A 24,802-nucleotide genomic window follows, 5' to 3' on the forward strand; every position below is an offset into this window, starting at 1 on the left:
GGGGGACCAGATTGGAGCCGCGGGCTAACTGGGATCCGTCCCATTTCCCTGGGCTTGACGTTCTCTGAATTTTTAGCTAATGTGGAAAGTTACATTTATTTGCATTTGTTTATCGCTTGCTCACATAGGTCTGTGTCCTGAAGCTTGGCAGATGAGCGAACTTAGCCAGCACACCCCCGGCCGTGAAGCAGGGAGGTGAAGCGGGGAGAGCAACGAGCCCCACCCGGGTCTTGCCAGCTGGACGTTCTTGTGGGGCAGCGTTGAGCAGCGGTTAGGAGTGCCGTGGACTTTGGATTCAAACAGCCCCAGCTCTTCTGCTTGCTAGCTGGGTGACTTTGGGCAAATTAACATCTCGAAAATCTGTTTCCTCATTCCTAAAATGCGGGTCTGAAAGTGATCATGCCTGTAAAGCCATCTCATATCCATGGTTCTAGAAGCATGGTGAGCACCTCAATTTGAATAATCAGTGCCATGCTTTAGCTACCTCTTGACTCACTCGTTTGTGGCAGGAAATGTTCCCAAATTAATCAGAAGAATTCAGTGACTAAGAGGATGTAATAGTATATAGCGCAGGCACTGGAATCAGCTCTGCTGTGTGATCTTGGACAAGCTGCTTCTGTTCCGTTTCTCTTATCTGGGGCAATACCTGTCTGAATAGAGTGACTGTTGGGACGAAATAGGTTAGTAAATATGTACTGTAAGGCATTAGAACCTTGCCTGGCACATAGTAAGTGCTCAATAAACGCTAGGTCTTGTTACCTTGGCTTCCCGTTTAGGATTGGAACCCTTGTGATTATTCTTTCCCTCCCAGTGATAGACTTCTGTGCTTACTTCGCACTCCTAGGCGTTCTGTAGGTTTGTAAACCAGTATTTATACAGAAATACTTTCTGTAGAAAGACAGGCATCATCAGATTGTGCATGTTAATCCGGGAACAGACCGAAAGGGAAGGTCTCAGAGGAGAGAGGCATAAAGGGAGAAAACAAAACAAAGTCACAAGCAAAGCAAGAGTAGTTGCTTTTATTCCTAAAGTGTTCATTATAAAAGAAACCAGAGGGCAGGGCACTGTGGCTCCCAGCACTTTGGGAGGCGGGTGGATCACTTGAGGTCAGTAGTTTGAGACCAGTCTGGCCAACAAGGTGAAACCCTGTCTCTACTAAAAATACAAAATCCGCTGGGCGTGGTGGCACACACCTGTAATCCCTGCTACTCTGGAGGCTGAGGCACGAGAATTGCTTGAACCTGGGAGGCAGAGGTTGCAGTGAGGCGAGATCACACCATTGCACTCCAGCCTGGGCAACAACAGCAAAACTCCGTCTCAAAAGAAAAAAACAAACACAAATACAGGAGGAAAACAAACAATAAAAAAGTGATGAAATTCATTTTATATAAATATATTGTGAGAAATATATGTAAATATGTGCATGGGAAAATGCCAATCCAACCAAGAAAGGCAAAGAAAGTGATATGCCAGCTATGCATATGTAACTTAATAAAAGAAAGGTGAGCCTGGCTTGTCCTTAGATAAGAGAATATCCAAGAGAAAAGGAAATTAAAATCCTAGAGGGCTAAATCCAAAGGAGGACAATTGCTGGCATTGACATACTTCTAGCTGTCCACCTTGATCATGAATTCCAGGAGAAGTTCAGATCGTTCTTGGACCTGGGTCTGTCTCTTTCACATTTTCTATTATGTGTTGAAGATTGTTTAGAACTATAGACTCAGCCAGGCGCGGTGGCTCACACTTGTAATCCCAGCACTTTGGGAGGCCGAGGCGGGTGGATCACAAGGTCAGGAGTTCAAGACCAGCCTGGCCAACACAGTGAAACCCTGTCTCTACTAAAAATATAAAAATTAGCTGGACGTGGTGGCAGGCGCCTGTAATCCGAGCTAATGGGGAGGCTGAGGCAGGAGAATCGCTTGAACCCGGGAGGCGGAGGTTGCAGTGAGCCGAGATTGTGCCACTGCACTCCAGCCTGGGCGACAAAAAAAAAAGAAAAAAAGAACTACAGACTCAGAGGCTATCTGGCTCAACTGACTGACTCTACTGATTTGCTGTCACTTTCACAATTTCGACAGTTGTTAGTAATGTTCTTTCAATAAGCATCTTTTTTTTCTCTTTAAAATGTAACTGGTGGGGCGCAGTGGCTCACGCCTGTAATCTCAGCACTTTGGGAGGCCAAGGCAGGCAGATCACCTGAGGTCAGGAGTTCGAGATCAGCCTGGCCAACATGGCGAAACCACGTCTCTACTAAAAATACAAAAATTAGCTGAGTGTGGTGGCGGGAGCCTGTAATCCCAGCTACTTCGGAGTCTGAGGCAGGAGAACCTTTTTGCACCCTGGAGGTGGAGGTTGCAGTGAGCCGAGATTGCACCAACGCACTCCAGCCTGGGCAACAGAGTGAGACTCTGACTCAAAAAAAAAAAAAAACAAGTAACCTTACACCTATAATCCCAGCACTTTGGGAGGCCACAGTGGGCAGATCACTTAAGCCTAGGAGTTTGAGACCAGCCTGGGCAACATGTTGAAACACTGTCTCTACAAAATACAAAAAAAGTTAGACAGGAGTCGTGGCATGCACCTGTGGTCCCAGCTAGTCAGGAGGCTGAGGTGGGAGGATCACTTGAGCCCTGGGGGTGAAGGCTGCACTCCAGCCTGGGAGATATAGCAAGATCCTTTCCCCTCAACCAAAAAAAAGTAACCTTAGGGAGGGAGGTGGGGATGATTAATGGGTACAAAAAAAAAAAAAAAAAGAATAAGACCTTAAGACCTACTATTTGGTAGCACAACAGGGTGACTATAAATAATAACTTAATTGTACATTTAAAAATAACTAAAATAGTGTAATTGGATTGTTTTTAACACAAAAGATAAATGCTTAAGGGGATGGATACTCCATTCTCCATGATATGATTTTATTATGCATTGCATGCTTATATCAAAACATCTCATGAGGCCGGGCATGGTGGCTCACACCTGTAATCCCAGCACTTTGGCAGGCGGATCACAAAGTCAGGAGATCAAGACCATCCTGGCTAACATGGTGAAACCCCGTCTCTACTAAAAATACAAAAAATTAGGCAGGCGTGGTGGCAGGCACCTGTAGTCCCAGCTACTGGGGAGGCTGAGGCAGGAGAATGGCATGAACCCGGGAGGCAGAGCTTGCAGTGAGCTGAGACTGTGCCACTGCACTCCAGCCTGGGCAACAGAGCAAGACTCTGTCTCAAAAAAAAAAAAACAAAAAAACTCATGTACCCCATAAATATATATACCTCCTATGAACCCACAAAAATTAAACATTAAAAAAATAAAAATAGGCCAGGCACAGTGGCTCACGCCTGTAATCCCAGCACTTTGGGAGGCCGAGGCGGGCAGATCACAAGGTTGAGAGATCGAGACCATCCTGGCCAACATGGTGAAACCCCAACTCTAATAAAAATACAAAAATTAGTCGAGCATGGTGGCGCATGCCTGTTATCCCAGCTGCTCAAGACGCTGAGGCAGGAGAATCGCTTAAACCTGGGAGGCGGAGGTTTCAGTGAGCAGAGATCACACCACTGCACTCCAGTCTGGCAACAGGGTGAGACTCCATCTCAAAAAAAAATAATAATAAAAATGAATAAAATGTAACCTTAGAAGGTTTGCTGATACTTGATTTTTTTTTTTTTTTTTGGAGACAAGAGTCTTGCTCTATCACCCAGGCTGGAGTGCAATGGCGTGATATCGGCTCACTGCAACCTCCGCCTCCCGGGTTCAAGCAATTCTTCTGCCTCAGCCTCCCAAATAGCTGGGATTACAGGCGTCTGCCATCAGGCCCGGATAATTTTTTGTATTTTTAGTAGAGACAGAGTTTCGCCATGTTGGCCAGGCTGGTCTCGAACTCCTGACCTCAGGTGATCCACCCGGCTCAGCCTCCCAAAGCGCTGGGATTACAGGCATGAGCCACCACGCCTGGCCTGATACATTATTTATTAATTTTTTTATGTAGTCACATACCTCATTTTATTTTTTGAGGTGGAGTCTCACTCTGTCGTCCAGGTTGGAGTGCAGTGGCTCCATCTCAGCTCACTGCAACCTCTGCCTCCCAGGTTCAAGTGATTCTCATGCCTTAGCCTCTGGAGTAGCTGGGATTACAGGTCCACACCACCAGGCCTGGCTAACTTTTGTATTTTTAGTAGAGACAGGGTTTCACCATGTTGGCCAGGCTGGTCTCAAACTCCTGACCTTGAGTGATCCACCTGCCTCGGCCTCCCAAAGTGCTGGGATTATAGGCATGAGCCACTGCTCCCAGCCAACATACCTCATTTTAAAAGTGTAGTCATACAGAAAAATAGATCCAATATGCACATGCTCAGCACCCAGTTTGGTGTAAAATAAATACTATTGTAAGCAGTGTGCGTATTGTGTTCTCTGGTGTGTGTGCTGTTTATCTGGATATGTCATGTCTCGAGCTCTCTGCATGTCTTACCTAGTCTGTCAGTATGTCCTTCAAACTGCTGGAGGGCAGGGACTGGAGGATGTTCTTGCAATTAATTCTATGTAGAGAGGCATACAGACAGATGATGAATGAAGGCTTGTGGTGGTAAACTACCAGTGTTCTCCAAGGATTAAATGCTAAACCTCAGAAACTGCAGAGGCTGTCCTTTTGTCAATAGACCTCAAGGGGCCTTAGGGGAGGGGACAAGAGACATTCATCTCCACCCAGTTTTATTGGCCTTCAGCCCCACCTTGTGCTGCTGCCAGGATGGCAGTCTTTCCCCTGGACATTACCATTTTGTCAGTTAGGGTAAACAAGCTGTTCCCCAAATGGCACTATCCACCCTAGGTAAGCATATGGGCACTTTCCCCTGCCTCCTCGGAGCTCTCAGTAGGGTTATACACAAAGTGCCAACCTCACAATTTAGTAAAATTCTCCACTTCAGGTGTGCCTCTATTGCAGCAGTTACTGCTTGTCTGCCCCACCAGACTGTAAGTCCCTAGAAGTCTCTGGCTCACGCCAAAGAGGATCAGTCTCCTGAGGAGAGTAGGGAAAGCCCTGGAGAGAAAAGGGTTGAGGGCCTTGTGCAGCTAGGGTCCTCTGTTCCCAGCATTTTCCCTGTATCACTCCCAGCAGTGATTCTGAATGCCAAGGGAGTGGAACATCTTTTATTTTATCTTATTTATTTATTTTTGAGATGTAGTCTTGCTTGGTCACCAGGCTGGAGTGCAGTGGCGCGATCTCGGCTCACTGCAACCTCCGCCTCCTGGGTTCAAGCGATTCTTCTGCCTCAGTCTCCCGAGTAGCTGAGACTACAGGCATGTGCCACCACACTCAGTTAATTTTTTTTTTTTTTTTGAGATGGAGTCTAGCTCTGTCGCCCAAGCTGGAGTACAGTGGCACGATCTCAGCTCACTGCAAGCTCCGCCTCCCGGGTTCACGCCATTCTCCTGCCTCAGCCTCCCAAGAAGCTGGGACCACAGGCGCCCACCACCACGCCCGGCTAATTTTTTTGTATTTTTAGTAGAGACTGGGTTTCACCATGTTAGCCAGGATGGTCTCGATCTCCTGACCTCGTGATCCGCCCGCCTCAGCCTCCCAAAGTGCTGGGATTACAGGTGTGAGCCACCGCGCCCGGCCCACACTCTGTTAATTTTTGTATTTTTATTAGAGACGGGGTTTCACCATGTTGGCCAGGATGGTCTTGATCTCTTGACCTTGTGATCCATCCGCCTTGGCCTCCCAAAGTGCTGGGATTACAGGAGTGAGCCACTGCGCCTAGCCTGGGAGTGGAACACCTTTTAGGAGAGCTATGAAAAAGGACAGGCAGTAGGGCTTTTATAATTTGAAGAACAACTCTCCTCTCAGGGGGAAATGTAAGCTTCTCCTCTCCATTACTGCTGTATGCAGTAGAGATCCTTTGAAGATGATCCTTTTCTTTTTTCTTTCTTTTTTTTTTTTTGAGACTGGGTCTCGCTGTGTTGCCCAGGCTGGCTGGAGTGCAATGGTGTGATCAAAGATCACTGCAGCTTTGATGTGAGCTCAAGATACCCTCCTGTGTCGGCCTCCAGAGTGGCTGGGGCTACAGGCATGTGCCACCATGCCCAGCTAATTTTTAATTTTTTGTGGAGATGGGGTTTTGCTTTGTCACTCAGGCTGGCCTTGAATTCTTGGGCTGAAGCAATCCTCAAGCCTTGGCCTCCCAAAGCAAAGATGATGTTTTTTTTTTTTGAGACGGAGTCTCGCTCTGTTGCCCAGGCTGGAGTGCAGTGGTGCGATCTCGGCTCACCACAACCTCCACCTCCCAGGCTGAAGCGATTCTCCTGCCTCAGCCTCCTGAGCAGCTGGGACTACAGGCGCATGCCACCATGCCCAGCTAATTTTTTGTATTTTTAGTAGAAGCGGGGTTTCACTATGTTGGTCAGGCTGGTCTTGAACTCCTGACTTTGTGATCTGCCTGCCTCGGCCTCCCAAAGTGCTGGGATTACAGGCGTGAGCCACTGTGCCCGGCCAGATGATGCTTTTTAAAGAGTAACATAAGCCTGGCCATCATGGCGAAATCCCATCTCTACAAAAAATGCAAAAATTAGCCGGGCATGGTAGCACGTACCTGTAGTCCAGCTACTCAGGAGGCTGAGGTGGGAGAATCGCTTGAGCTCAGGAAGCAGAGGTTGCAGTGAGCCTGAGATGGTGCCACTGCACTCCAGCCTGGGCAAGAATGAGCCCTCGTCTCAAAAAAAAAAAAAAAAAAAAAAAAGAAAAGAAAAAGGAGTAACAGGATTAGATTTTGGAAAAAATGACTCCCAAATATAAACATGTATTTCCAGCTCCTTAATGAACATATCTACTGGAACATCCTGCAAGGACTACAAATTCCTTGCACCCAATGCTTGTAGGGGACACCTAGAGTTTGTTTTATAGCTTAATCAAGGTATAATTGATGCACAGTAAATTGCACATAAAATATGCAATTTGATAAGCTTTGACACATGTATATACCCATAAAACTATCACCATAATTAAAATTAAGAACATTTCTGGCCAGGCGCAGTGGCTCATGCTTGTAACCCCAGCACTTTGGGAGGCCGAGGCGGGTGGATCACCTGAGGTCGGGAGTTCGAGACCAGCATGAAGAAACCCCATCTCTACTAAAAATACAAAATCAGTCGGGCATGATGGTGCATGCCTGTAATCCCAGCTACTCGGGAGGCTGAAGCAGGAGAATTGCTTGAACCCAGGAGGTGGAGTTTGCAGTGAGCCGAGATAGTACCATTGCACTCCAGCCTGGGCAACAGAGTGAGACTCTGTCTCAAAAAAAATAAAAATAAATAAAAAATTCACCCTCCTTATCATGATCCCCTCCTATCACTGGTCTTCTTCCCGTCATAGGCACTAACATGTCTGGTAATAGTGTCAGTCACAGTTCGCCATTTCCCTGGCCATAGGATGGACACATCATGCAAATTGGGCCAGTTGAATTTTCTCTAAGGGAATGTGGATCTGGAGAGAACACAGTGGCAGAAGGTGGCAGCTGCTGGAGGGGCTGTGCACACATTCCTGATGCAGACATCCAGGGGCTGGCTCTTGTCCTTCCTGCAGCCTGGTTCTTCTTTTGGCTCTATGAGCTGTCTAATATCAACATATCCTTTTATCTTTTTTTTTTTTTTATTGAGACAGGGTCTCACTCTGTTGCCCAGGCTAGAGTGCAGTGACGCAATCTCAGCTCACTGCAACCTCTGGCTCCTGGATTCAAGCAATTCTCAGTGCCTCAGCCTCCAGATTAGCTGTGATTACAGGTTCACAACACCATGCCCAGCTAATTTTTGTTATTTTTTGGTAGAGACGGGGTTTCATCGTGTTGCCAAGGCTGGTCTCAAACTCCTGGCTTTGCCATGAGATCAGAAGCAATCTGCCCATCTCGGTCTCCCAAAGTGCTGGGATTACAGGCATGAGCCACTGTGCCCGGCCCCAACATATCCTTTTCTTTCAGACAGAGTCTCGCTCTGTTGCCCAGGCTGGAGTGCAGTGGTGCAACCATGGCTCACTGCAACCTCTGCCTTCCAGGCTCAAGCGATCCTCCCATCTCAGCCTCCCAAGTAGCTGGGACCACAGGTACATGCCACCAGGCCTGGCTAATTTTTTGTAGAGATGGGGTCTCACTATGTTACCCAGGCTGGACTTGAACTCCTGAACTCAAGCGATCCTCCAGCCTCTGCTTCCCAAAGTGCTGGGATTACAGGTGAGAGCCACCACGCTCAGCCCCAACATATCGTTTATTGCTTAATTTTGTCAGTTTGTCGCTTGCAACCAGAGAACCCACATAAATATACTTCTTTCTGCAGTCATTGTTAAAAGGAAAGACACCACCAAGTTCTAGTCTCTCAAGCCTAACTTAGAATAATTCCTGGCCAGGCGATGGCTCACACCTGTAATCCTAGCACTTTGGGAGGCCGTGGCAGGTGGATCACCTGAGGTCAGGAGTTCGAGATCAGCCTGGCCAACATGGTGAAACCCCATCTCTACTAAAAATACAGTTAGCAGGGCGTGGTGGTGTGTGCCTGTAATCCCAGCTACTTGGAGGCTTAGGGAATCACTTGAACCAGGGAGGCGGAGGTTGCAGTGAGCCGAGATTGCACCATTGCACTCCAGCCTGGGCAACAGAGCAAGACTCCATCTCAAACAAAACAAAACAAAACAAAAGAAAAACACCTCACTTTTCATCATGTGTGCCCTTCTAGCCCGTCACTAAATCTTGCCCATTCTGCTCCTTGCTCAATATTCTGTCTCGTTAAATATCTTATTTTTAACACCCCTCATCATTGTTTCCCTGGTTCCTAGTACTGGTACTCAGTGCTTGGTAGACGGTTGATGCTCAGTAAATGCTTGCAGAATGACTGAACGAATGGTGATATCATCACCTCTAAAAACAAGAGCAAGGATGGAAAGGTTTTGGCATTTATGTGGCATTTATCAAGTTGGCAGGACTTCAGAGCTATTTTGAAAATGTCACAAATATTTTCATATAAAGTAATGATAGGACTTGAATCCAAGACTTCCTTTTTTAATTTTTTCTTTTTTTTTGAGACAGTGTCTTGCTTTGTCACCCAGGCTGCGCAATCTTGGCTCACTGCAACCTCTGCCTCCCAGGTTCAAGCAATACTCCTGCCTCAGCTTCCTGAGTAGCTGGGACTACAGGTGTGCGCTACCACGCCTGGCTAATTTTTGTATTTTTAGTAGAGACGGGGTTTCACCATGTTGGCCAGGCTGGTCTTGAACTCTTGACCTTGTGATACACCTGCCTCGGCCTCCCAAAGTGCTGGGATTACAGGTGTAAGCCACCGTGCCCGGCCTTTTTTTTTTTTTTTCTTTTTCTTTTTAAGACAGAGTCTCCCTCTGTCACTCAGGTTGGCATGCAGTGGTATGATCGTTGCTCCTTGCAGACTCAACCTCCCAGGCTGGAGTGACCCTCCCTCCTCAGCCTCCTAAGTGGCTGGGAGTATAGGTGCGCTCTACCGTGCCTGGCCTAGTTTTTAAATTTTTTGTAGAGATGGGGGTCTATGTTGCCTAGGCTGGTGTAAAACTCCTGGGCTCAGGTTATCCTCCCGCCTCAGCCTCCCAAAGTGCTGGGATTAAAGGTGTGAGCCACCACATCCAGCCCTTTAAAATTTTTTTTAAAAATAAGAGATAGAGGTCTCATCATCTTGCCCAGGCTAGTCTCCAACTCCTGGGCTCAAGCAGTCTTCCCCTGTTGGCCTCCCAAAAGAATCCAGGACTTCTGACTCCAAATTTCATGCCATTTCTAGGATAGGATTTTTTTTTTTTGAGACAGTTTCACTCTTGTTCCCCAGGCTGGAGTGCAATGGCACAATCTTGGCTCACTGCAACCTCCGCCTCCTGGGTTCAAACGATTCTCCCGCCTCAGCCTCCCGAGTTGCTGCGATTACAGGTATGCACCACCACGCCCGGCTGCTTTTGTATTTTTTTAGTAGAGACAGGGTTTCTCCATGTCGGTCAGGCTGGTCTCGAACTCCCAACCTCAGGCGATCCACCGGCCTCGGCCTCCCAAAGTGCTGGGATTATAGCTGTGAGCCACCGCACCCAGCCGATATGATTGTTATTATTATACTTTGTATCCTTTCAGTTTCATATCTTCCTCTCTTGTGCTCAGACCCTTACTCATACCAAGTACTAAATTGTAAACACCAGATATAGCTCTAAAATGTTATTACCCCTTTCCAAGTGTATCTGTTTATCAACCAAAGTGGGGAGTGGGGAGCACATGCAGGATTAAGGAGAAGAGTCTGTGGCCCTTGGTATCATAAAAGAATTACAGTCAGGAGTTAGGGTGAGCTGGGGGTCAGGGATGTGACTAAACCTTTCTGAACCTGGGGCAGAATCAATAACCATACCTAAGTGGAAAACAGTGTGCTGGGTTGCAACAATGCCCTTTGTCAAATAAACAATCCACAGATAGTCAGAATCAGACTTTATTTAACAATCTGAAAATGTGTTCTTCCGGCTTTAAGTCTTGCAAAATGGGTCGTAAGTCAAAGACAGATTTGTTCACTATCCTCTGAGTGTGTGTGGTTATGTCTCTGTATAGGCAAGTGTCTGTGTCTATAGATACTTTTGCTTTTTATAGTGATTAAAGCTCCACTTTAGTTAATGTATAAAGTCTTATTCTAATAATGCTAAAACCAGAATTAAATATTCCCTGAGTCTAATGTTCTCTTCTCCCCAGCCTGCCTCCCTCCATCCCTCCCGTAAGGCTGCTCCTCCGCCTCCATTAATGCCAGGTCTTTAGACAGCACCAGCATTCCTACTGAGAACCCAGGGATGGATGCTGGCTCTTATATCCCTCTGACCTATACCCTCTGGTTGAAGAGCTTCTCTGGCGAGGTTTGGGGCAGGAGGAGTCTTGGTAGTTTCTCTTCAGAGTTGTGGATTTTCACTTGTGGATACCTGGAAAGTAAACATGATTGTGTTAGGTGTTGACCTGCCTTCCCACCAACCACTTATGGAGGGGTTAAACTCAGTTTGCTTCTACTGAATTATACTTCATGTAATGCCACTGGCCTCTCTTGAGGGAGGCAATGTGAAACTGGTTGTTGGGATTATTGCAAGGACTTGTTGCAGATATTGTTCATTACATCATTCACAATATCTTTATGATGATTCACAGGAGAATTTCTTTTTTTTTCTTTTTGAGACATAGTCTTGCTCTGTCTCCCAGGCTGGAGTGTAGTGGCACAATCATAGCTAACTGTAGCCTTGAACTCCAGGGCTCAAGTATTCTCACCTCAGCCTCTGAGTAGCTAGGACTACAGGCGCACACAACCATGCCTGGCTAATTTATTAAAAAAAAAATTTGTTGCCTAGAATGGTCTTGAACTCCTGGGCTCAAGTGATCCTCCCACCTCAGCCTCCCAAAGTGCTGGGATTACAGGTGTGAGCCCCGGCACCTAGCCTCCTTAAGGAATGAGCATTGTGAATTGGGTTAACTGATCAGGTTTTTCTCTTCTTGGATTTTAGAAAGTCTGGAACCAATTTCATGGTCATCCTTAGTAAGCTTATTTTATAGAATGCATTTTTTATACTTGCCTAATTCATGGCTCCATTTTACATCACTATCCTGTCTCATATAATTCTGAGTTTTTCTGCTGTATGTTGTGTATATGTGTGTATGTTAATATAATAAACATATATATATGCAGTTCACATGCTGCATAATGACATTTTGATCAACAATGGACTCTATATACAAAGGTGGTCCCATAACATTTTAATGGAGCTGAAAAATTTCTATTGCCTAGTGATGTGGCAGCTATTGTTAACATTGTAGCCTTTATAACATCACAGCACAACACATTACTCACATATTTGTGATGATGCTGGTATAAACAAACTTACAGTGCTGCCAGTTGTAAAAAGTATAGCACATGCAATTATGTACAGTACATAACACTTGATAACAATAAACAACTATATTACTTGATGTATTTAATATACTATGCTTTTAAAAATATTTTTCTATATATATTATTTTTGAGACACAGTCTCACTCCATTGCCCAGGTTGGAGTGCAGTGGCACAATCCTGGCTCACTGCAGCTTCTTTGTCCCGGGTTCAAGTGATTCTCATGTTCTCATGCCACAGCCTTCCAAGTAGCTGGGATTACGGGTGCGTGCCACCATGCCCGGCTAATTTTTGTATTTTTAGTAGAGATGGAGTTTCACCATGTTGGTCAGGCTGGTCTTGAACTCCTGGTCTCAAGTGATCTGCCTGCCTCAGCCTCCCAAAGTGCTGGGATTACTGGCATGAACCACCACATCAGCCTACAATACTTTTTATTATTATTTTAGTGTGTTTCCTACTTATTAAAAAAAAAGTTCTGCTAATTGGCCAGGTGCGTTGGCTCACACCTGTAATCCCAGCATCCCAGCACTTTGGGAGGCTGAGGCGGGAGGATCATGAGGTCAGGAGTTCCAGATCAGCCTGACCAACATGGTGAAACCCTGTCTCTACCAAAAATACAAAAATTAGCCAGGCATGGTGGCGCCACCGCCTGTAATCCCAGCTACTCAGGAGGCTGAGGCAGGAGAATCGCTTGAACCCAGGAGGCGGAGGTTGCAGTGAGCCGAGATTGCACCACTGTACACTGTACTCCAGCCTGGGCGACCGAGAGAGACTCCATCTCAAAAAAAAAAAAAAAAAAAAGTTCTGCTTATTTAAAAAAAACATTAACTGTAAAACAGCCTCAAGTAGATCCTTCAGGAAGAGGCGTTGTTATTACCAGAGATGACAGGTCCATTTGTGGTAGTGCCCTGAAGACCTTCTAGTGGGACAAAATGTAAAGGTAGAAGACAGTGATATGGGTGATCCTGACCGTAGGCCAATGTGTATGTTTGCGTGTTTTTATTTACTTGTTTATAGACGGTGTCTAGCTATGTTGCCCAGGTTGTATTTGAACTCGTGGGCTCAAGTGATCCTCCTGCCTCAGCCTCCTGCATCGCTGGAACTACTACAGGCACATGCCACAACACACCCAGCTCTGTGTCTTAGTTTTTAACAAAAAAAGTTTTAAAAAGAAACAGAAAAAATACAGAATAAAGCTTACAGAATAAGGATATAAAGAAAATATTTTTTGGCCGGGTGTGGTGGCTCCCGCCTGTAACCCCAGCACTTTGGGAGGCCAAGGCAGGTGCATCATCTGAGGTCGGGAGTTTGAGACCAGCCTGACCAACATGGAGAAACCCCGTCTCTACTAAAAGTACAAAATTAGCTGGGCGTGGTGGCGCATGCCTGTAATCCCAGCTACTCAGGAGGCTGAGGCAGGAGAATTGCTTGAACCCAGAGGCCAAGGCTGCGGTGAGCCGAGATCATGCCATTGCACTCCAACCTGGGCAACAAGAGTGAAACTCCGTCTCAAAAAAAAAAAAAAGAAAAGAAAAATATTTTTTAATGGTGTAGCCTAAGTGTACAGTGTTTATAGTCTATAGGAGTGTAAGTAATGTCCTAGGCCTTCACATTCACTCACCACTCACTCACTGACTCACCCAGAGAAGCTTCCACTCCTGCAAGCTCCACTCATGATAGTGCCCTATACAAGTGTATCACTTTTTATTTTCTATATGCTATTTTTACTGTACTTTTCTATGTTTAGATACACAAATATTAACCACTGTGTCACAGCTGCCTACAGAATTCAGTAAAGTAACATGCTGTATAGGTTTGCAGCCTAGAAGCAATAGGCTATACCATACAGCCACACATAATGACAAAATCGTCTAATAATGCATTTCTCAGAGCATATCCTTGTTGTTGAGCAACACATTACTGTATAATATGACCTTTTTGCATTTAAAAAAAATATCTTAACCTCTTTAACTCCTTTTTGAAATAATTTGAGATTTAATTAAATAAATACCTAGAAGATAGGGCCAGTTTAAGGTCAAGTATAGGAAAATGGGCACGGAGATACCACGAAGTCCCAGTTCATTCTTGTTTCCTCTGATTCCCACCTGCTTGACTGCCCTAAGGGTATGGTTCACTGCCGGATTCCCCTTGTAGCCTGTGGTGAAGATTCCAGCCTTTTCCCAAACCCCTGTCAATCTAATGCCCAATCTATTCTCTGTATATCTGGTCTTACCTCTTCTTGAGGTTCAGGTGCTGTGAGGTTGTTGTTTTCTGGTACCATGGAGACTTGAAGCTGGTCTTGGCCCTACAAAGAGAAGAGTTCTGCCAGTAAGAGGTGGCTCAACCTTTCCAGCCTCTCAGCATAGAAGTGTCTTCTGTGCCTTATACTTTACAAGGGTCTCAGTATTTGTACTATTACAAAGGGCAAAATACAGTGTTGTTTCACCAGAGCCTGAAGGCATCGGGAAAGGCTTTCATCCATCCTCTTTTACAGATGAATAAACTAAGATTCAAAGGGTAAAAAGACTTGCTGGGACAGGAAACCAGGTCTTTGAATTCCTGAGTTGTTTCCATGATCAAACACCATGTAATCTGTGTGACATGGTGTGGATGTGTATCTATAAGGGAGTGCGAGGTCTTAAAATTACTACCTGCCACTTTTAGATGAACCGTCCTCAAGAATGTACTGCAACTCTCACACTTAAGTGATCCTAATTCATGACACGCAGTTAGGAGAAGCAAGTGGTAAAATAATTTCTTTGGGAAAAATTTTAGGTTCTGAGATGGGAACCCAAGGTGTAGGAAGCCCAGTCTAGACCACGTGCAGGGGTGCACACCTGTAGTCCCAGCTCCTTGAGAGGCTGAGGCAGGAGGATCACTTGAGGCCAGGAGTATCAAGGTTGCAGTGCACTATGATTGCACCTGTGAATACCCACTGCACTCCAGCCTGGGCAACATAGTGAGATCATCTCTAAAAATATAAATTTTAAAAAAAAGAAAGAAAGCCCTGCCTAGAAACTGCTATGCTAGGGGAAGACCCTGTGAGGTTTAAAATAAGTTTTTAAAACATGAAATTTAATTTACAAACTATAAATTCATATTTTAAAAACAGAACCAATTTCTTTTTAATTTTTTCTTTCTTTCTTTTTTTTTTTTTTTGAGAAGGAATCTGGCTCTGTCACCCAGGCTGGAGTGCAGTGGCGTGATCTTGGTTCACTGCAACCTCCACCTCCCAGGTTCAAGCGATTCTCCTGCCTCAGTCTCCCAAGTAGCTGGGATTACAGGCGCCCACCACCATGCCTGACTTTTAGTAGAGATGAGGCTTCACTATGTTAGCAAGGCTGGTCTCAACCTCCCAACCTCAAGTGATCCACTCCCCTCAGCCTCCCAAAGTGTTGGGATTACAGGTGTGAGCCATGGCACCTGGCCAACAGAACCAATTTCTAACAGTGTGATAGCCACTTGAAATTCCAAGATTTCTCCTTCAAGGACATTTTCTTTCTTTTTACTCCCTCCTCCCTTTCCAGGTCATGAATTAGCTCAGAGGTGATGTTACATCACCTCCCGGAAAGTTATCAAAACCTTCCATCTCTCTGAGATGATTCAAATGGTAAGCAAGAACAGATTTTTTCCCAGTAATTTTTTTTCAAAAATGGCTATGTTTTTTCCCAGTTATATTTATATTTACCCATTTTTACATGTGACATGTCCATAATTCTGCCTGAGAGAAAATATGATTTATAATGCATCTGCAAGGGAAGTGAGCATACACAGGCTTCAGAGGATTGATGACACGAATAGGCTAGGATCTAAGATGCTCTAGTTGCTTAATTCTACAGGAAAAATATTTCTCCTTAGCTGATGACCAAAGCAATCCCACCAGAGAGGCTAAGAGTAAGGAAATATTATAAATCTAAAATATAAGGAGACAGACTCAGGCGGAAGGAGAGTGTATCCTGTACCTCTTTTCCAGGGAGGACAGTGTTACTAGCCTGTTTCTTAAAATGGTCAGAAAGAGTCTTGGCTCCTATAAACTCCTCCCTTCAAAAAGATGACTCCAAGAATGCAAGCTTGTTTTATCATTCCCCAGAGGCAATCAAAAAGTCACTCTATTACTGTCTCCATCTAAAATCATATAATACATTATAAAATCAAATTGAAATCAATTCAACCATTGAGTTGCTCTTTTCAGTGCAGAAAAATGAGAAGTGGCTATGCTTACCTACTCAAAACCCCGCATCTATCCTGCACTTATTCACTCTCCACATGTCCTGCCTATCTCTCTCCATCAGCACAGCTGCCTCAGACTAGAAACTGACCAAGGAAAAGTCATTTTTATTATTTAAAAAATCTTTTTTTGAGATGGGGTCTCACTCTGTTGCCCAGGCTGGAGTGCAGTGGCGTGATCATGGCTCACTGTACCCTTGACCTCCCTGGGCTCAGGTGATCCCACCTCAGCTTCCCAAGTAGCTGGGGCCACAGGCATGTGACACTACGCCTGGCTAATTTTTGTATTTTTTGTAGAGATGGGTTTTTCCTATGTTGCCCAGGCTGATCTTAGACTCCTGGGGTCAAGTGATCCACCTGCCTCAGCCCCCAACAAAGTGCTAGGATTACAGCCACCTTGGGAGGTTGAGGCACTGCACCCAAATCTTTTTATTAAATTTTTTTTAAAGAGATGGGATCTCACTATGTTGCCCAAGCTGGAGTGCAGTGGCTATTCACAGGTGTGATCGTAGCATACTACAGTGTCGAACACCTGGGCTCAAGTGATCCTCCCGCCTCAGCATCCTGAGTAGCTGGGATTACAGGCTTGCATCAGTGAGCCTGACTTAAGGAAAAGTTGTTTTTTTTTGTTTTTTTTTTTGAGACAGAGTTTCACTCTTGTTGCCCAGGCTGGAATGCGATGGCGAGATCTCGGCTCACTGCAACCTCCGCCTTCTGGGTTCAAGCAATTCTCCTGCCTCAGCCTCCTCAGTAGCTGGGATTTCAGGCACATGCCACCATGCCCGGCTAATTTTTGTATTTTTAGTAGAAATGGGGTTTCACCATGTTGACCAGGCTGGTCTCAAACTCTCGAACTCCTGACCTCAGGTGATCCGCCCACCTCGGCCTCCCAAACTGCTGGGATTACAGGCGTAAGCCACTGCACCCGGCCTAGGAAAAGTTTTTTTTTTTTTTCTTTTTGAGACGGAGTCTCGCTCTGTCACCCAGGCTGGAGTGCAGTGGCGCAATCTCGGCTCACTGCAAGCTCCACCTCCCGGGTTCATGCCATTCTCCTGCCTCAGCCTCCCGAGTAGCTGGGAATACAGGCACCCGCCACCACACCCGGCTAATTTTTTGTATTTTTAGTAGAGACGGGGTTTCACCGTGTTAGCCAGGATGATCTCGATCTCCTGACCTGGGAATCCGCCCGCCTCTGCCTCCCAAAGTGCTGGGATTACAGGCATGAGCCACCGCGCCCGGCCAGGACAAGTTTTACATCTTGCTCTGTTAGGGCCCTCAGTGCTTCATGTGAATCAAGACTGAAGGCCTCTGAAAGATATACTTCTGGAAAAAGAAAAATAAATTTTAATGTACAAAAAAATAGGGCATCATCATGTAGATGACTTAGGCTTTTAGTACCTCCGAGGAGTTAGCTGAGATAAGCTTATTATCCTTTTCCTTGTCTTCCATCTTCTTTGCCTCTCCAGGCTCTGAAGCAACCTGTGAATCAAAGTGAACAATGGAGGAGAGAGTCCCACACCTTCCACCTGGGGGCCATCCCTGTGCCCTTGGTCCATATTAGCTCCTCTCAGATATCAGGAGGCTCCCGAGGTAGCCTTGGTCAGACACAGGCAGTAGTAGGGTGGTGTGATCTAACGAGTGTCAGAAATCTCACACACTTCTCCCGGATATACACATGGCTCATGTGCTAGCCTTCTTCATTGCTCACATGTCACCGCTGACTGCTCTATAAACTTGCAACTCAGCTCCCACTCCCTGTGTCCTTCCCTACTTAATTTTTCTTCATATCACTTATCATTACTAGATTGTAATTTTATTTATTCTTTTTTTTTGTCTGTCTTCCGCACTAAAATATAAGCCTCAGGAAGGCAGGGTATTTTGTTTTGTTCACTGTCATACCCCACCTCCTAGAAAAGTCCCAGGCACACTGTAGGGGCTCAGTAAGTAATTGTAGAATGAATAAATCTTGTTGCCATCTAGTCAGACATTTCACCATAATCCTCTCTACAATGTACCTGACTGGAGATAATCTATCCTAGATCTTTTTTTTTTTTTTTGAGACAGGGTCTTGCTCTGTTGCCAGGCTGGAGTGCAACGTGGCACAATCTTGGCTTACTGCAACTTCTGCCTCCTGGGTTCAAGCGATTCTCCTGCCTCAGCCTCCCGAGTAGCTGGGATTACGGCACACACCACCATGCCCAACAAACTTTTTGTATTTTTAGTAGAGACGGGGTTTCACCATGTTGGCCAGGATGGTCTCGATCTCCTGACCTCATGATCCGCCCACCTCAGCCTCCCGAAGTGCTGGGATTACAGGCGTGAGCCACTGCGCCCGGCCCTTAGCTCTTAACATCAAGGAAAGAGAACTAATTTTCAAGGCGGCCCATCCCATATTTTTTTTGATCAGCCCCTTGTGTCTCCTTTGCCCTTCCACAATACTTTTTTCCCATCCCATTTAAAAAATTGAGCTAATTGTTGAAAGTTCCTCTTGTATTGTTCCAAAATGTATCTTAAAAAAAAGTCTTTATATGTAGTTTCTGCCTCTGCCCTCTGGAGTGTCACAGAACAAGTCAAATCCCTATATGATAGTCTTTCCATATAATGTGACTAGAATATGACTTGAGGCCGGGCACGGTGGCTCACACCTGTAAGCCCAGCACTTTGGGAGGCGGAGATGGGAGGACCACTGGAGCCCAGGAGTTTGAAACCAGCCTGGGCAACATGGCGAAACCCCATCTCTACCAAAAATACAAAAATGAGGCAGGCATGGTGGCATGCGCCTGTAGTACCAGCTACGTGGGAGGCTAAGGAGGGAAGATCACTGGGGCCCAGAGAGGTCAAGGCTGCAGTGAGTCATGATCATGCCATTGCACTCCAGCCTGGGTGACAGAGTGAGACCCTGTCTCAAAAGAAAGAAAGAAAAAAAAGAGTATGACTTGATTTACAGATCCTTCACAGAACTAGTTGCTCTTCAATGGGTTGGCATCTCTCAATTTTTTTTCAAGACTTAAAAATTTTTTTTTGAGATAGGGTCTCACTCTGGTGCCCAGGCTGGAGTGTAGTAGTGCTCACTGCAGCCTCGACCTCATAAGCTCAAGCAATCCTCCTGTCTCAGCCTCCCAAGTAAGGAGCAGCCTTTTCAAAAGGCTGTCCTTTTTGCTTTACTTCCCTCTGTGAGTTCCTGCTTCTAGGTCTTCTCATCAGAGAAGACACACCCTGGAAATTTGCTGCCATTTTTTTTCAGGGTCTATTTACCATAGTCACAGGTATAATGAACTGAAGTGAGACCCACCCTCCTGCCCCCACTAAAGAAGGTAAAGCTCAGGATTCCAACTATTGGTCCTTTATTTTTTTGAATTTATTATTTATTTATTTATTTATTTTATTTTGTATTAATTTTTTTTTAACTTTTTCTTTTTCTTTTCTTTGAGACACAGTCTCACTCTGTTGCCCAGGCTGGAGTGCAGTGATGTGATGTCGGCTTACTGCAACGTCTGCCTCCTGGGTTCAAGTGATTCTCATGTTCTTGTGCCTCAGGCCTTCCAAGTAGCTGAGACTACAGACACCACCATGCCTGGCTAATTTTTGTATTTTTAATGGAGACAGGGTTTCACCATGTTGGTTGGCCAGGCTGGTCTCGAACTCCTGGCCTCAAGTGATCTGCCTGCCTTGGCCTCCCAAAGTGCTGGAATTACAGGTGTGAGACACGACGCCCGGCTTCAACTAAAGGTTCTTTATACTAGGAACTCCCAGAACTTGGAGGAAAAGAAAGAAATTAGTAAGAATCTGCTCATTAACACTACTAGAGATAAGCCCCTTATAGAAGTCAATTACTGGCTGGGCGAGGTGGCTCACGCCTGTAATCCCAGCACTTTGGGAGGCCGAGGCAGGCGGATCACGAGGTCAGGAGTTCGGCACCAGCCTGCCCAACTTGGAGAAACCAGCTGGGCGAGGTGGCTCACCCCTGTAATCCCAGCACTTTGGGAGGCTGAGGCGGGTAGATCACAAGGTCAGGAGATCGAGACCATCCTGACTAACACAGTGAAACCCCATCTCTACTAAAAATACAAAAAATTAGCCAGGCATGGTGGCCGGCACCCGTAGTCCCAGCTACTCGGGAGGCTGAGGCAGGAAAATGGTGTGAACCCGGGAGGCGGAGCTTGCAGTGAGCAGAGATCGTGCCACTGCACTCCATCCTGGGCGACAGAGCGAGACTCCGTCTCAAAAACAAAACAAAACAAAACAAAAAATAAACATGGAGAAACCCCGTCTCTACTAAAAATACAAAAATTAGCCGGGTGTGGTGGCGTGCACCTGTAATCCCAGCTACTCTGGAGGCTGAGGCAGGAGAATCACTTGAACCCAGGAGGCAGAAGTTGCAGAGAGCCAAGATTGCATGACTGCACCCCAGCCTGGGTGACAGAGCGAGACTCCATCTCAAAAAAGCAAACAAACAAACAAACAAAAAAAAGTCAATTACCCTAAAAGTAGATTACTAAATTAATAGCTATGAAGACATGAAACAATCCCCAAAACCAAAAAAGGTGTCCAAGAGTATTCTGACTATAGTAAAGATACCTACATGGAGGTTATAAAAGGATATAAAGACCCTACCAGAGCCGGGTGCAGTGGCTCACATCTGTAATCTCAGCACTTTGGGAGGCCAAGACAGGAGGATCACTTGAGGCCAGGAATTCAAGACCAGTCTGGGCAACATAAGGAGACCCTATCTCTGTTGGCAGAGGATCACTTGAGCTTGAGAGGTCGAGACTGCAATGAGCTGTGATCGCACCACTACACTCCAGCCTGGACGCCTGAGTGAGACCCTAGCTTAAATAAATAAATTAATTAAATTAAATACCCAACCAGAACTACTCTTACCTGAGATGTCATTAAGGTGGGGGAAGTACAAAGTTCTTCAGGGTTCTGATTGTGGATGTTTTCATTTTCTTTGGCCTCAGGAGTTCTTACTGGCTTCTCTGGTGGTTCTGGATTAGGAGAGACCTCTAGGGAGGTCCTAGGACTTGCAGTCCCAGTCCCCAAGGAGGCCCTAGGGCTGGTGGGTGAACCCCCTCCAGAGGCTGTAGGGCTGGAAGGTATGTTCCCTGAGGAGGGCCTGGGGCTTGCAGTGGCTCTGGGTGGAGGAGGCCTACTAGGGGGTGCTGAGGTCCTCTGGATAGAGGCTCTCTTCTTTGGTTGTTCAGATCCTTCACTTGCGGTGCGGGTTCGGAGGACTACTTCTGTGGCAGATGATGAAGGCTGCCCTGAAGGGCTCAGGGCTCCGCCTGGTGATGGAGTTGTGGAGCTGGGGAGAACTTCCTCCTGGGACTTGGCCCTTTCAGTGGTAGGAGAGGGCTGGGCCTGGGCGGGGCCATTGCAGGCTGGTAGAGGCTCATCTTCCTCAGAGGAGCTTGCTTCAGATCCTTCCTTCTCTATTTCCTCCTCTTCTAAGAGCTCCTTGATCTCAGAATTGTCTTCCCCTTGGGCTGCATCAGGTGCCAGATCTTCAGTTGCTGAGACAGATTCACTCTCACTCTTCAAGGAAAGTGTAGAGGGACTAGTAGGTGAGGTAAGAGGACTGGAGACTGTAGCTGTTCGAACTGGGGGAGAAATGACTAAAGAGCGCCTGCTGCTGCTAAAAAAGGAAGGTGTTCAGATTCAGAACGGCTAAAAACCAGAAGCAATGTAAATATGCAAAACTTACGATGCATGTAATAAAAAAAAGAATAAAGCAATTTAAAATGTTAGAAAGTTTGCATAATTTACAATAACACTTATACAGTGAAATGAAAAAAGGCCAAAATTTTATCTATATCATGAACTCAATTATGTAAAAATATGTACAGAGAAAGAGACTGGAAAGAAACACTGCAAAATGTCGCAAATATTTCCTCTGGGGCAAAGATTAATGGGTGATATACAGTTGAACTACACAGATTTCATATCTGTGAATTACCTACTTATTTATTTGGAACCCCCAAATCAATACTTGTGGCACTTTCCCAGTCACTATTGGAGATGCCCAAGTGGTGAAGAATGAGTTGCCTGGCACGCACTTTCCAGATGAAGTCTAACAAGGCAATCATCTACCTTCTTGCTTCCGTTCTCAAACTGTAAACAAATGTCCTTTCCACCATGTTTTCCTAACTTTGTGCTTTTTGCTGGTGATTTTGCTACTTTAAATGGCCCCCAAGCTGTAGTGCTAAGTGCAAAAAGACTGTGATGTGCCTTCCAGAGAAAATACATGTATTATTAGGTAAGCTTCATTCAGGCATGAGTTACAATGCTGCTGGTTGTGAGTTCAATATTAATAAATTAATAATATATATTAAATAAGGTATCTTTAAACAGAAACTCACATAAAACAAGGTTATATGTTGGGTGGTTGATGAAAATGTTGTGACCAGGGGCTCACAGAAACCTGTGTTTTGATGTTCAGTGAGTATGGCAACTTTATAAAACAAAACTACCATGAACAACAAGAATCAACTATAACATCTATCAAGTAGCTGCTATGTGCTGGATGCCATGCTTATCCTTGAGCATCCAAGATTAGAATCTAGAATATATCAGCCAAAAAAAAACCACCTTATTTTTATTTATTTTTTTATTTTTTTTGAGATGGAGTCTCGCTCTGTCGCCCAGGCGGGAGTGCAGTGGCGCGATCTCGGCTCACTGCAAGCTCTGACTCCCGGGTTCATGCCATTCTCCTGCCTCAGCCTCCCGAGTAGCTGGGACTACAGGCGCCCGCCACCATGCCCAGCTAATTTTTTTTTGTATTTTTAGTAGAGATGGGGTTTCACTGTGTTAGCCAGGATGGTCTCGATCTCTTGACCCCGTGATCCACCTGCCTCGGCCTCCCAAAGTGCTGGGATTACAGGCGTGAGCCATCGTGCCTGGCACAAAAACTTACATAGATCGATTTTTTTAAAAAAGGTCAACAACCCAATTGAAAAATGGGAAAACGATATATAGGAAAGTCACAGAACAGGAACCTTAAATGGCCAATAACATGAAAAGATGCTCAAGGAAACTAGCAATTATGAAGCTATGATTTAAAACTGCAAAAAAATTCCATTTTATACTCATGAGCTTGTAAGAATGAATAAGTCTGACAATTTCACATGTAGTGAGAATGTGGACTCATGAGGGCTCTTACTCACTGCTGATGGGTGGTAAACTGGAATTATCACCTTGCAGAGCAATATGGAAATATCTCATTAAGGGTCAAGAAGCCCCATGACAGACCTTATGACTCAACAATCCTGCTCCAAGTATAGACCCTAAAGAAACTCTTGATAATATTCACAGGGACAAATGTAAAACATGTTCATCACAACATTATTTATAATAGCAAAAACCTAGAAGACAACTCAAATGCCCCAAACTAGCAGGAGGATAAATAAATCATGAAGTAGGCATACAGTAACAACTATAGAAAGGAAACAGCAGAGCTATTATAACAACATGTAGCAATAACAAAAAATCTTACAAACAACACTAAGAGAACAAAAGAAGTTGCAGAACAATACATACAGTATAAGTCCATTTATATAAAGTTTAAAAACATGCAAAACAGCCGGGCGTGGTGGCTCACACCGGTAATCCCAGCACTCTGGGAGGCCAAGGCGGGCGGATCACGAGGTCAGAAGTTCAAGACCAGCCTGGCCAGTATGGTGAAACCGCGTCTCTACTAAAAATACAAAAATTAGCCGGGTGTGGTGGCATGTGCCTGTAATCCCAGCTACTCTGGAGGCTGAGGCAGGAGAATTGCTTGAACCCGGGAAGCAGAGGTTGCAGTAAGCCAAGATTGTGCCATTGCACTCCAGCCTGGGTGACAGAGCAAGACCCTGTCTCAAAAAAAAAAAAAACAAAAAAAACCCCCCAAAAACATGCAAAACAATATTTTATGTGTGCATGTATGTGTGAAACAATACAGTGTGTGCATGTTACATTTAGTATTACATTTAGTATTTATTTCCATGCGTATTATTTTATGTGTGAAACATACATGCACACATAAAACAACACACATAGAAATGATAAATACTAAATGTAACATAGCGGTTACCTTTAGTGGGGTCAGAAAGAAAAAGTGAGTGGGGAAGGAACATTGGGAACTTCAGCTATATTTACAACAGCCAAGTTCTTAAATTTGATGGTAGGTACATGGCTATTTGTTGTATTATTCTTTATACGTTCGGTTATGTCTAAAATATTTAATTTTTATTAATTTTTTTAGAGACAGGGTCTTGCTCTGTCATCCAGGCTGGAGTGCAGTGGCATGATCATAGCTCACTGCACCCTCAAACTCCTGCACTCAAGTGATCCTCCTGCTTCAGCCTCCTGAGTAGCTAGGAGTACAGTTACGCACCACCTTGCCCGGCTAATTTTTTTTTTCTTTTAATCTTTTTTTGTAGAGATGAGATTTCACTATGTTGCCCAGACTGGTTTCAAACTCCTGATCTCAAGTAATTCTCCTGCCTCAGCCTCCCAAAGTACTGGGATTATAGGCATGAGCCACCATTGTCTGGCCTTGAAATATTCAGTAAAAAGTGGCCGGGCGCGGTGGCTCACGCCTGTAATCCCAGCACTTTGTGAGGCCGAGGCGGGCGGATCACGAGGTCAGGAGATTGAGACCATCCTGGATAACACGGTGAAACGCCATCTCTACTAAAAATA

The 24,802-nt window shown here is 45.3% G+C and overlaps 1 protein-coding gene across 9 annotated transcripts in view; it reads right to left on the bottom strand.

Annotated features, from left to right (window-relative positions):
- BIN2 (bridging integrator 2) overlaps positions 10,449-24,802 on the bottom strand; it is a 43,631-nt gene continuing 29,277 nt past the window's right edge. For 5 of the 9 annotated variants that reach the window (NM_001290007.2, NM_001290008.2, NM_016293.4 and 2 more), the window contains 4 exons: positions 21,002-21,755; positions 17,519-17,599; positions 14,127-14,198; positions 10,449-10,939 (listed from right to left, as the gene is read on the bottom strand). In NM_001290007.2, the coding sequence (NP_001276936.1) occupies positions 10,910-10,939; positions 14,127-14,198; positions 17,519-17,599; positions 21,002-21,755 (937 nt within the window). In that variant the 3' untranslated portion in view covers positions 10,449-10,909. Of the gene's footprint in view, positions 10,940-14,126; positions 14,199-17,294; positions 17,444-17,518; positions 17,600-21,001; positions 21,756-24,802 lie in introns of all 9 variants that reach the window. The other 4 variants (NM_001364781.1, NM_001364779.1, XR_001748746.2 and 1 more) reach the window with 3 other exon arrangements.

The sequence above is a fragment of the Homo sapiens genome, chromosome 12 (genome assembly GCF_000001405.40).
Source record: "Homo sapiens chromosome 12, GRCh38.p14 Primary Assembly".
Lineage (NCBI taxonomy): Eukaryota > Metazoa > Chordata > Mammalia > Primates > Hominidae > Homo > Homo sapiens.